This window comes from Homo sapiens, chromosome 20 (assembly GCF_000001405.40).
Source record: "Homo sapiens chromosome 20, GRCh38.p14 Primary Assembly".
Classification (NCBI taxonomy): Eukaryota; Metazoa; Chordata; class Mammalia; order Primates; family Hominidae; genus Homo; species Homo sapiens.
The window spans coordinates 18,318,939-18,332,587 of NC_000020.11; the positions used below are offsets into that span (position 1 = coordinate 18,318,939).

The 13,649-nt window shown below is 36.1% G+C and overlaps 1 long non-coding RNA gene and 1 pseudogene across 2 annotated transcripts in view, besides 2 other annotated features; one reads left to right on the forward strand and one right to left on the reverse strand.

Moving 5' to 3' along the window:
- Positions 1-13,649, reverse strand: part of ZNF133-AS1 (ZNF133 antisense RNA 1) — a 47,923-nt gene that overhangs the window by 7,578 nt on the left and 26,696 nt on the right. For both annotated transcript variants that reach the window (NR_187569.1, NR_187570.1), the window contains 3 exons: positions 9,955-10,037; positions 6,210-6,296; positions 4,706-4,848 (listed from right to left, as the gene is read on the reverse strand). This is a non-coding gene — a long non-coding RNA (ZNF133 antisense RNA 1). The remainder of the gene's footprint in view (positions 1-4,705; positions 4,849-6,209; positions 6,297-9,954; positions 10,038-13,649) is intronic.
- Positions 4,611-5,234: an enhancer, noted in NCBI's record as "OCT4-NANOG hESC enhancer chr20:18304193-18304816 (GRCh37/hg19 assembly coordinates)". NCBI's record gives its function as "activates a minimal SCP1, AML or CMV promoter by ChIP-STARR-seq in naive H9 embryonic stem cells {active_cell/tissue: H9 hESC(naive)}" and the evidence as "EXISTENCE:reporter gene assay evidence [ECO:0000049][PMID:30033119]".
- Positions 10,071-10,164, forward strand: RNY4P11 (RNY4 pseudogene 11; annotated as a pseudogene).
- Positions 10,410-11,609: an enhancer, noted in NCBI's record as "CDK7 strongly-dependent group 2 enhancer chr20:18309992-18311191 (GRCh37/hg19 assembly coordinates)". NCBI's record gives its function as "activates an origin of replication core promoter dependent on BRD2, BRD4, P300/CBP, MED14 and CDK7 cofactors, with strong dependence on CDK7, by STARR-seq in HCT116 cells {active_cell/tissue: HCT116}" and the evidence as "EXISTENCE:reporter gene assay evidence [ECO:0000049][PMID:35650434]".

Sequence of the window (13,649 nt, forward strand, 5' to 3'; positions counted from 1 at the left end):
TAAATTTTAAGGGAATCATCCCATAGCACCTTGACACTCAACCCAAATGAGAGGCTTGTCCTGAAGAGCTTTGTGGATATGGGTTTTGTCTAATGGAATGAGCTTCAATAAGAGGCATACCCTTAACGTTTGTAACAGGAACACCAGCTTGCTCTGAAAAGGACAGAAAAGCCCCTACCTCTTTCTATGGGCAGGGAGGCAGGGTGAGAAACCTACTAAGCTGCAAGCACAGGCCATTTCTCATGGAAAAGGAGGAATAACTTGGACTGCAGACATCATGGAGAATCACTCTCAGGGGCAGTACGGTGCTACTAAGGTAACTGGTGGCATGTGCCCAGCTGAACTGCTGAATTTCTATGAACCAGTACCTGCTATTTCCCCATTTTTTGATAGAAGCACTTTTTCAGGGATAGTTATCCCTGAATCTACACTGGGTGTTAGATATGCTGCTTTGGTTCCCAGGTCTTCAGATAAAGCATCATCTACACCTTGACCTGATTTAGAGAATGAGATCCCGATCTTTGAGCCAATGCCATAGTGGGATAAGACTTTGGAGGCATCTTAGGAGGGATGAGTATATATTTCACATGGAATGGATGTGTGAAAATCGTCTCCAAGATGGACGTAATCAATTCGTCCCTCCCTATATCTTTATTATGAGATGGGGTGAAGGGGAGTGACCTGTTACCTTCCCCATGTATCTGGGCTGGTCTTAGTGACTTGCTTCATCAAGAGGGTATAGCAGAAATGATATTATGGGACTTCTGAGACTAGTTCATAAGAAGCCATGCAGCTTCTACACTTTGAACCCTGCTGCCATGCTGTGAAAACTTCTAGTCACATGGAGAGGCCTCATAGAGGTACTCTGGTAATCAGCCATAGCTGAGCTAGCCAACAGTGAGCCTCAACTGCAGTCACATGGGAGAGCTATTTTGGAGGCCTGCCCTGTCAGGCCTTTCAGACGACTGAAACCCTAGGTGACATCTGCAACCAAGTGAGGGACCTCAAGTGAGAACCATTCAGCTGAGTTCAGTCAACCTATAGAACTGAGGCATGATGATAGTAGTTGTTTTAAGCCTCAAATTTTAGGATTGTCTGTTATACAGGAATAGATCATTGGAACATATAACCTTGGACTGACTTCCTAACTGATTCAAACTCGAAGTCATAATGAAAAAGGTCAGATTTGTCTATACAAAAATAAATTCTGCAAGGCAATTCACACTTACGGACAAAACAAAAGACAAACTTGATAGAGATGCTGTCTTTCCTATCTGCATAATACCATTAGAAATGAAGTTTTAAAAATCAAAAACACAGTCGAAGATACTAAAAAATACAAGGACAGATCACAGCATAGGAAGAGAAGTCTTCTTTCATTTGAAAATATCCTTGACATCAGTAAAGGTACAAATGAAAGCCACACACAGAGATATTTGCACCTGCCAGATTAGCAAAGACTACAAAATTTGGACATAGTATTGTAGATGGTGGAAACAGGCACACTTCTACATTAGTCTTGGGAATACAAATTGCCACAAGTCTTCTGGTGGACAACTTGGTAATATCTCTCAAAATTTAAATTCATATTCCCTTTGAGCCCAAAATCTAATTTAATGAATTTATCTAATAGCTGTGTATGTTTATGTGCAAAATGATTTAGATAAGTTATTCAATGCAGTCATGAGTAATTTCAAATTTTAGCAAAGAAAAACATGTTCAGTAGAACTGATTAAATATAAATCATGCACAAACGGACAATATGCTGTCGTAACAAAGAATGAGAAGCATCACTATGTACTTATATGAAAGAATCACCAAGATTAATCAGTGGGAGGAGGGATGGGACAAACAGTCTGAGAACACTGTGTCCAGGGTGCTAAGTTTTAGGTTAAAAAGAGGCAATCAAAGAACATATTTTTAAAAGAACAAAGTTGGAGAACTTATACTTCCGAATTTCAAAACTTACTATATAGCTCCAGTAGTCAAATAACCAGTGGAGTTTTTTTAAAAATATAAGCCCAACAGCAGAATTTTCTTCTAAAATGGCCCACAAAGACAATTTGCATTCAAATTTGCATAAGTAGGGTTTTCTAGATGTAATACCATACTATATTTTTCTTCCAAAATGGTCTTGAAAGCAGGATTATTTTTCATCCAACTTCACTAAGTCTTATGAGTTTTTAGAAATAATTCTTATGCCAGGCTTTTCTAAAATGACCCAGAAATGTAACTTTTCATCTAAATTTGTTCAAGTTTTTAGGACATGTGGTCATAAATTCTATGCTACATTATTTTACAAAGTTCCCCAGAAATAAATACACTTTTCATTCAAATTCATTCAAATCATGGGTTTTAGGGTACACAAATTCTTTGTCAAATTTCTCCCCAAATGAGTAAGAAACCTGAGTTTTAAAAATCCAAATTTATATAAATAGTGGGTTTTTGGGAAGTAAGTCATATGCTGGATATTTCTCCTCATATCCCCCTGGAAATGTGAAATTTTCATGCAAATCTGCTCAAATTTGGATGCTTATTGGAACTTAAGTCCTACACCAGATTTTCCTTCTAACATATGCAGAAAATGTCATTTCTTATCCAAATTCACTGAAATCTTAGGATCTTTGGATCTAAATCATGTGTAAGACTTTTCTTCTAAATGGCCTGGAAATGTGATTTTTCAATCAAATTGGCTCAAATAATGAAGTTTTTTGGAAATAATTTCTATGCCAGAATTTTCTTCCAAAGTAACCTAAAAATGTGATATTTTATCAAAATTTCCTTAAATTATGTTTTTTGGGGTAAGCTGTATTCCAGATTGTTCTTTGTAAATGGCTGGGAAATATTATTTTTTCTTAAAATTTACTAACATTGTGAGGTTTATTAGACATAAGTCCTGTCCCAGACTTTCTTTCAAAATGGCCCCAAACATGTTTTTTTCAAAAAATCCAAATTTACTCCAGTTTTTTGGCACATCAGCCCTAGGCCAGCTTTTTCTTCCAAAAAGTGGAAGGTTTTTGGATATAAGTCCGATGCAAAAAATGTTTTTCCAAAATGATTCAGAAAGATGATTTTTTTCATTCAGACTTGCCAGAAATGTAATTATGGACATAATTGCATGCCATATTTTTCTTCTAAAATGGTGTAAAAAATATTTAATCCAAATCTGCTAAGTCTTAGGTGGGGGCAGGCAGTAGACATGAAGTCCTCACCATAATCTTTTCCCAGTGTGACACAGACATGCAGCTTATTTATCCATATTCATTAAAATTGTGGAGTTTTTTTAGGTTTTTTTTTTTAACATAAGATTTAAAGCAGTTTTTCTCCCCTAGAATGGCCCAGAAACATGATCTTTCATTCAAATTGGCTCAGACTATAGGTTAGTTTGGAAATAAATCCATGCCAGATTATTCTAAAATGGCCTGGAAATATGGTTTTTTTTTTCACCCAAATCATAGATTTCTGCTGTTTCCGTTGTAGTTCACGTGTTTTCAAGTCCTGGCATAGTGAATTACTGTTTAGATCAGGATACTGTGTCACTAGTGAATTACTGGGGAAGAAGTATACACACAAATCCATACCATATGTCGACAAAAAGAGTTGAACTCTTACATAATTGAAGAGATTTATTCTGAGCCGAGTGACCGTGGCCTGTGACACAGCCCTCAGGAGGTCCTGAGAACATGTGCCCCAGGTGGTCAGGGCACGGCTTGGTTGTATACATTTTAGAGAAGCATGAGACATCAATCAAATACATTTAGGAAATACATTGGTTTGGTCCAGAAAGGCGGGACAACTCAAAAACGGGATAGGGTGGGGTGTGCTTCCAGGCTATAGGTGAATTTAAACATCTTCTGGTTGACAATTGGTTGAGTTTGCCTAAAGACCCGGGATTGATAGAAAAGGAATGTTCGGGTTAAGATAAAAGATTGTGGAGACCAAAGTTCTCTGGAAGTCTTATGGTGGCTGCCCTTAGGGACAATAGATGACAAATGTTTCCTATTCAGATCTTAGTTAATCTCTTTACGATTGGGGGGGGGTCTGGAAGAAAAATATATAGCTATGTTAATAGAGATTCGTTACAGATGCACGTTTTTCCCCACAAAGAATAGCTTTGCAGGGCCATTTCAAATATGACAAAGAAATATATTTTGGGGTAAAATATTTTGATTTTCTTCCTTGTCTCATAATGTTATGCCAGAGTCAGGTTGGAAAATAAGTCACGATATACAGGGTTAAATAAAACCCAACTGATGAGAATTTATGATTTGTAGGGCATGACTCCCCAGACCCCTTAGATAGGAATTTGGGCAAGATAAAAAAAATCAGAGTTTAGTTCTCACATATACCCCAAATATAAGTAGTTCTCAGTATCTGAAAATGGCTTTATTAAGGGAGTTAATATTTCTAAATATGTGTGAGACTGAACACCTTCTATTCCAATGAGTGTCTTGATATGGTTTGGGGCTAGAGTTTCTTTTGTGAAAGGAAAATAAATTCACTATGCCAAAAGGAAAAAAATGCAGCTGAAAGCTGGGTCACGCAAACAACTGTCTTGAACTGTAGTTGAATTGGGGTTTTATCTTGGAAATTCTCCTTAATGACTAAAAGTTAAGATTAACAATCAGCTGGTTTTAATTTCTTCTTACCATTAGAGCACTCAGTAATTGTATGAATTGTGTGACCATTTTTTTGTTTTGCTTACCTGGTTGTGTTTGCCTGTTTCTGTTTTTGTTGTTTCAGTCTTTTTCCCATTAGGTTTGATCATCTCTACCCGACTTGGTCAAATCTGAAGAAAAGTTCCAAATTATGGGGAACAAAGCCTCTGAATTGTCTACATTCCTGCAGCTGGAAAAAAAAAATAAAAAAGCCAGCAAAAGGAAGAAAAGAAAGATTTTGACTACCTGAGGGGCTTTGTTTACATAACAAGGCCATCTTTCGCCAGCCAAGCCCAAACTGAAAGAACTATGGTGGCTGCCCCGCAGCGTAGTTCAGTAGCTAAAGGTTCTGCCTGCTTTCACCATAGCAGCCTGGGTTTGGTTCCTGAATCAGGTCCTTTCTGGCTTAAATTTTGTGTTATTAGTACTTTTGAAATATCAGCAGGTTGTCCCAGCTAAAACATGGTTAAAAGAGATTTAAAAGGATTTTTAAGAGCTCAGTGGTTAAAACTCAGCTTAATTAAAAGCTAATATCCAAGATGTGTGTGTATGAATATAAGGCCTTTATGCTTTTTCTCTGTCCTAGGATCTTGTTTTTTGAGAAAAAGTTTTTTGCTTCTCAGTTGACTGAGTTCTGTTTCCTCAAATTACTTTGGCCTGTCTCTCCTTCCTCTTGCCACTCTCTGCTGCATGAAGGATCTAAATAATTTCTAACAGCCTGGGATTCCTTAAAGAAAAGAGAGAAGGCACCAGACTCCTTTCTGGGGAGAAATCTCTGTTCTTCCATATGGAACCCCAAGAATATAAACAGACAGGTTCCCTCTGATCTTAAACTGCTTGCTTTTGTATTGTTACCTGATTTTTAAAAATTATATTATAGCAAGCAAACATTTTTCTTTAAAAAATGTTCTTATTAAAGGGAAATAATTTCTAATTCAAAGGTTATTTATGAAACAAGGCAAAAGATAATAAAGGTTAAAAGGAAAATAATTTTATATGAGAAAGAATTTGTATGGTAAATTTTTTGTCCCAAAATAAAATGACTGGTTATTTAAGAAAGCGGATATTTAAGATAAAACAGGAAGTCCAAGTGTGGCAGGCCAGGTCTCACTAATGCGGGCCTTCATAACAACTGTTTCAGCACTGACTGATTAAGTTAAATATTAAAAGCTGAAAGGGCCAGTGACCTTATGCAAAGGCTGGGCTGTAACAGAAGCCCACCAAGAGTTTTGCCTAAGCCTTTCCTGGCCTTGAAACATGACAAGATAATGAAGGAATTCTTAACAGGATACATTTAGGATTAAGCAAGTTTTATTGGGGGTCTGAAGAAACTCCCCAGGCCTCCACAAACAAGTTTACTGGGGTCTGAAGGAACTTCCCAATCCTCCATGATTTAGCAGGAGACAAGATAAGGGTAATCACCCCGGAACCTGGACCCATTTAGATTAAGTAAATTTACTCAGGCTCCAGAGGAAGGTCTTCAGAACTCAGATCTTAGTTACAGATTAAAAGAAGTTAATCACTTATGTCTTTAGATGAATGCATACTTACACATAGACATATGGCTTAGAAGACATATAAGCTCTGGAAAACTTTGTAATTTTGAGTTGGTCTAGCAGTGTTTTCCAGGTCTTCTCCCTGTAACCGGTTACAGAAATAAAAACTCTCTTCCTCCCCAGTTCATCTGCATCTTGTTATCGGGCCACGAGAAATAGCAGCCCGACCCTCAGTTTGGTCTGGGAACATAGGCATATATCATAAATGGTTTGTGTAAGTCATAATAAACTTTGTAAAAGGAGAATTTATATAAAAAAACTTTATGTGATCAAGTTGGCTATAGTTAAAAGAAAATTATTTCTAAAAGTCTCTGTAGAGATTAGGCTTTGATATTAAAATACCCTAATACTCAAAAGAATTGGTTAGAACAACAAAATTTTCTTAAGGTATTGATTTACTCTTAATGAAATTACAGGAGATTTTTGTTAACCCCAAAATTTAACTTTTATTGTGTCTTGCTGTTTTCAGTTTTCTCTCCCCTTTGAGAAGGCCTGAGATAATAATTCACTCCAACTTTTTCATCAGCTCCTCTAACTTTTTATCCTTATTTTCTAAATGCTGTTGTGACCTAATGCTAAAAATGTTTTATCTTAAAGGTTTAAAGGAAATGTTTTCTTCCAATATAACATTCTGTGCTCTTAGCTTTTCTTAATATGTCTAAATTGGTTTACAAAATTGAAAACCTGGCTGGGTGCCGTGGCTCATGCCTGTAATCCCAGCACTTTGGGAGGCCGAGGTGGACGGATCACCTGAGGCCAGGGATTCTAGACCAGCCTGGCCAACATAGCAAAACCCCATCTCTAGTTAAAATACAAAAAATTAGCCAGGCATAGTGGTGTGCGCCTATAATCCCAGCTACTTGGGAGGCTGAGGCAGGAGAATCACTTGAACCCCGGAGGCGGAGGCAGCAGTGAGCCCAGATTGCACCTCTGCACTCCAGCCTGAGCAACAGAATGAGCCTCCATCTCAAAAAAAGAAAAAGAAAACCTTCACTTAGGACACACTCTTCCTATGTCTAACTAATTCAAGTACCCATTTTTCATTAGTTTTGACTTGCAGGTTATCTAAATGGACTCCCCACAGGGAACAGCAGTCACACTGCAAAAAGATTTATTTTTGGGGTTTTTGCCATTTGGTAACTGGACTAACAAACAGATTTTATGTTTTATTGAAATAATTCCTACATCATTATTAAGTTTTGATTTGCTTAGGAAAACTGAGATTAATTTTGTTTTTAATTAAGGCTATTACCTACATGTAACTTTCTGTATTACTTTTAAAATCCTTGTGCTATTGAGTTACAGGGTTTTGACTCCTGGATGCAAAAAGGACCAAGTTCTGCTGAATCTTAAACACTGACAGCAGTTAAAGGCTCACCTTCAGACTTAGGAGATGATAACAATAAAAATAAACTGCATTCATGAAACACAGAGCCAGAAATTAAAACTATTCAACCCCTCTAGGCCCAGGGACTATTGAAGAAAAGGTGAGTGTGTGAGACTGTAAGGGCCAATTTTGAGAGAGAAAATTATATCAGAGTTTCTCTATAGATTAAACATTAATAATCAAAGAAACACCGATGCAAGACCAGCATCTGGGCCCCTGTGTCAGATTGACAAGGTTTTTCTTGGAGCATTAACCTACTCTTTAAAAAATTAGAAAAAGTTATAAAAAGGTTTAGGGAAGTTAAATCTTATGGTCAAGATGATTAAAATTTAATAGATTTGTTTATAAGACTTCAGGCAGATTTAATTGGCCTCATGCTTTCTTTATTAGTACTTATTGTTTGGGAAATTAAGTCTCCTCTCTCAAAGAAAAAGGCTTTTGCCTTTAAAAAAAATATTTCAGTTATCACTTTGGCTGAATGAATGACTTATTTTACAATTTCCTGTGATCCCATTTATGATATCAAGTGTTTTAAACTTTTTTTATATTTGACAAACTTTCCAAAATCAAGTTCTAAATTCAGTCCTTTGACCTTTTAATTTTTTGATATTAGGTCCCCTGAAGTCCAAAAGAGACATATTTTGCTTATTTGGCATAATAAAACCATACAAGAAGCATCATCAAATATGAAATGGTGTTTAACGTTCTTTGGATTATATTTATATAAATGTGTTATTAGTATGTATTCCAAAATTATATGAGATTCCTGTGATTCTGATACATCTTAGTACATGTTATCAGTAGTAATTATGATTATTATGTCAAATTGTTGTATGCCGCAGGAGTAACCAAATTTCCTTGTAAATTGTGTCTTTAACCATGACCGTTCTAAGACTTTCATTATCCACAATTGTGGTTTTACTTTGGTCTGTTTATAGAGTGGTTTATAATCAGCTATAGACCTCTGAGGAGTACTCTTAAATATGAGTTTCTGATAGTATTAGAGACTGTGCGATTGGAATAAAGAGAAAAACTTCCAGAACTCTCATGGAAAGTTGATGTATTCATGAGGGTTGTTGATCGACTATTGAGAAGAACAGGAGTTAATTGCATGGACTGAACTAATAGAAGATTGAAATAATTACAATAATCCTTTATGGCTTTTTATTTAAAAATTTGCCAGTTCTCTTTGTTTTATTTTTCAGATTTAAGAAAATTTTCTCTTCTTTTAAGCTATGTACAGCTTTTAACAATTGAGTAAATTATACTCTAGTGAGCAAAATTTAAAACATAATTTCTTTCTCTCTACCTCATTTCCCCAAAATTTGGAAATTATTTGTAAGTATTCTTAATTTATGGCAATATAGTTATTTATATAAGCTCAATAAGAATCTGTTTTCTTTTATAACAGGATGTAATTGGAGATACTGGTTAGTTTACCAACGCTTTGACTGGAATGACATATATTCAGACTGCCCTGAGAAAATAAGGCTAACTTTTAGAGCCACTAAAAACCCCTTGGAAAGATTGGCCTTATACCTTGTTATTTACAGGGTCCTGGCCTGTGGTAAGTAAAGAATGTCACTTTCAGACATACCTAGGAACCCCAAGGTTTTTTGGAGACCTCAAAAAGAGAGGAATTTATTCCATTTACACAGGTATCTGCAGGCACAGATAAATCCTTGACTGGCCTCATGGCTTTAGAAAAGCCCTAATCTCAGATTCCTTATGGAAAAGCTTCCAGCAAAGCCAAATTTTTCAAAAAGACAGCCTATATGGCAAATGATTATTGTTGCTGCACTTCATGTAAATAATCAAGCCAATAATAAGACTAAAACTTACTTTACAAATAAAGTGGTCCTACTATGATTTTGTCTTTAATAAAATGGGAGAATTGGAGAGAGAAAAATCATGTTTCAAAATAAACTCTAGTACACCTGTTATTGGATTCTAACTTTGTCAAGTGTTTTTCAACTTTTATTATATTCTACAATTTGGACTGAATTCTAAAATATTTCGTGACTACAAGTTTCCAAAATAATGTTTTCATTTTTTTCTTCTCTCCTTTCCTTTTTCTGCCATTTTTCCTGATTTTAAATACTGAAGCTAGACAACATAAACTTATGTATCTCTATATATAAACAAATTTTATACCTACCTACTGATGTATTGACTTCGGAGTAATATGGCCTATATCAGTTTTCCAGGATTGTTCTCCCTTTTTAAAAAATATTTGTTATTTTCTCATCTTTCCTCTGCTTCCTTTCTCTGTCCTTCACCTATTTTTTCTTTGTAGAATATAAGACTTCATAACTGGCTAAAAATGAGTTTTCCTAACAACGTGGGACCTTACCCCTCTAGGAATGGGCCATCCCAATCGTGAGAGATCAGACAAATCCTGAGATCAGAGACTCATTTTCTTCTAAAATGCATTTTCTGAAAGAGTTTAAAAGAAAAAATAGGGAGGTTTGGTCCAATGGTAGTGGGTTATCAGAACTTATTAACACTAGTGTCACTAAAGTTGGTATATGACCCCCCCACTGCTAAATTTGACTGGCTTTTTAAAAAGTGGCGGTGAGAATTGTGAAAAGAAAATAAATTTACTATGCCAAAGGAAAAATATTAAGCTGAAAGCTGAGTCATGCAAGCAACTACCTTTCCTTTTGTTCCTAAGTAGATAACTACAGATAAAAGGTTAAATATTTCCACAGGTAGCTACTTTATGTTCATCTTATCTTATGTAACGTGTCAATTTACTGAGTGTGACACCAATACATAATTGACTATTCCCTTGCTTGCTCCTTTTCTCTTGCAATATGTGGATTACCATACTCTCCCTCTTTCCTCTCTATCCCACTTTTCTCCTTTAAATGTTGAAGCCCTGAAAGTCATCTTTGGAGAAAGGCACAGACTTGTTTCCCAAGCACATCATTCACCTTGGCAAAATAAGCTTCTAAATTCATTGAGAGCTTTATCAGATACTTTTTCGTTCATACTTGCTCTTTCTAGGACCTGGTATTGTTTCTTATATTCTTAAATTGCTTTGACAGTATTGAACACCTAGTTTATGCAAGGACTTATATACTAAAAATTACCTAAGAGTGTCTCTGGTTCTGAGCTTTTTATTTTTTTATGACTTTTTTTTTTTTTTGGATGGAATTTTGCTCTTGTTGCCCAGGCTGGAGTGCAGTGGCGCGATCTCAGCTAACTGCAACCTCCCCCTCCCAGGTTCAAGCATTTCTTCTGCCTCAGCCTCCCGAGTAGCTGAGATTACAGGCGCCACCACACCCAGCTAATTTTTGTATTTTTAGTAGAGACGGGGTTTCACCATGTTGTCCAGGCTGGTCTCGAACTCCTAACCTCACGTGATCCACCCACCTTGGCCTCCAAAGTGCTGGGATTACAGGCGTGAGCCACTGCACCCAGTCAACATTTTTTTTAAAGGAAATGATTCACTTCTAATACCTGTAAACAAGTTAAACTTAGTCATCCAGGAGTAATGTTACTGAAAATAGCAGAGTAGGGAACTCTAAAATCCTGTCTCTCCACAAAAGCAATGAACAATCTGGCAAAAACTGTCAGAGTCAAATTTTTTGGAACTCTGGGAATCTATTAAAAAACAACAATAGCAAGCAGGGGAATGCTTACTGAAGAAAGACACTGCTGAATTTTGGTAAAAGTGCTGTGGCTTTGTAACTTACCTGCTTACCATGCCCCATCATCAGCTTGGTAGCAGCTAAGACAGCAGCTCACATTCCAGATGCAGGTTGCTGGCATCAGAGGGAGAAATATGGACTTATTTTCAAGGAATCATGGTGGTGTGTTTTGATCTGTCTGGGCTCCCTGAAGGGTTGGCACAAGGGCTTGCTTTTCTTTTACCTGACTCAAACTTTCTCCAAGGCATAAGCAGTTTCCAGATGGTGTTTGTTGAAAGCATGTAAAAGCAAATGTATTAGCCTTAGCCACCTGAGACAAAGGATGACAGTTGGAGCAAGCAACAAGCAACAAGAAAAGTCTGGGAAGAAAGAGAGCACACATGGAGATACATGGAGAAATGATGACTTTGAAAAGCTTCTGTATATATGAAGAAATCCAGAAGGTCACATACATGCCCAGGCTGGACATATGCCCAGAGACACCTGAAAAGACTCTAATCTTTAACATCTATCTAACTTTTAGGCTCCACACAAGGAGGGAGTGAAGGTTAAGGCAGAGTTTTAAACAACCTGGCCAAGCATTGAAGGAGTTCCTCATGCAAAGCCAACCTGCAAAGACTGGGAGAGTATTTTATACTTTTGGCTCTCACTATTTCAGGAAATCTCTTCAAATCACTAGCTGACCACTAAGCTAAAATAACAAAACTTCAGTGGCCAATGACAAGGAATATAGCTTTAACAAAAATGGTTTAGAGAAGTGTCTAAACCATTAAAGTGTTAAACAACAACAAACTACAACAAGCAGCAACAACAAACTCTGGAGAAGAAGGAGAATCTGATTTCCAAAGTTGTCATATTATTCAAAATATCCACTTTGCCACAAAATGTTATGACACATGCAAAGAAGCAAGAAATTACGGCCCATTTGCAGGAAAATAAGAAATGTATAGAAACAGTCCCTGAAGAAGCCCAGACACTGGACTTACCAGACAAAGACTTTAAATCAACTGTCTTAACATATGTTCAAAGAGTTAAAAGGGAACCATGGACAAAGAACTAAAGGAAACCAGAAGAATGATGTGTCACCATATAGAGAATATCAATAAAGCTATACAAAATATAAGAAACAACCTAATAGAAATTCTGAAGCTGAAAAGTACAATTACTGCAATGAAAAGTTAATTAGAGTGGTTCAACAACAGAACAAAGAATAAGCAAACTTGAAGGAAGGTTAATTGAGATTATCTATTGTATGAAGCAAAAAGAAGAATAAAGAAGAATTAGCAAAGATAAATAATTCCTGGAGTTTCAATGTACAACAGGGTAATGACAGTTAAACAATATTGTATAGTGATAATTTGTTAAGAGGATAAATTTTAAATCTAATTACACACATGTACAATGGTAACTATGTAGAGGTACTGGATATGTTTATTAGTTTGGTTGTGATCATTTCACAACGTACACATATCAAGACATCAAATTGTACACTTTAAATATATATAATTTTTATATGTCAATGATGTCTCAATAAAGCTATTTAAAAAAAATGAACCAATCCTCAGAGAACTATGGGACAGCATCAAGCATACCAACATACATATAATGGGAGTCCCAGAAGGAGAAGAAAGAAAGGGCCAGAACATATATTTGAGGAAATAATGGTTAAAAACTCTCCCAATTTGATGAAAGACATGAATCTACACATTCAAAACGCTAAGTGAACTATATAGGCTGGTGCAAAAGTAATTGCAGTTTTGCCATTACTTTCAATAACAAAAACCACAATTACTTTTCCACCAACCTTACACAAGTAAGGTAAATGCAAAGAGATTCACACTGAGATACGTTGTATTCAAATTGTCAAAAGTCACAAAGAGAATCTTGAAAGCAAGAAGAGAAGAGGCTCATCACTTACAAGAGATTCTTAATAAGATTAGCAGCTGGTTTTTCTTCAGATACTGTGGATGCCAAAAAGACAGTAGGATAAATATTTAAGGTGCTGAAAGAGACCAAAAAAAAAAAAAACCTAGCTGGGTGTCGTGGCTCATGCCTGTAATCCCAACAAGTACTTTGGGAGGCTGATGTGGGCAGATCACTTCAGCCCAGGCAACATGGCAAGACCTAATCTCTACAAAAAATAGAAAAATTAGCCAGACATGGTGGCTACATATGTAAATATAAAGTATTATTGTATTTTTGGCTTGTAACTCCTGTTTTTTTCTATATGATTTAAAAGACAAATGTGTAAATAATCATTATAAACAATGTTAATTGGCACACAATGTATGAAGATGTAATTTGTGGCAGTAACAATGTAAGGAGGGGACAAAGCTGTATAGGAGCAGAATTTTTATATACTATTGAAAGTAAGTTGGTATAAATTTAAACT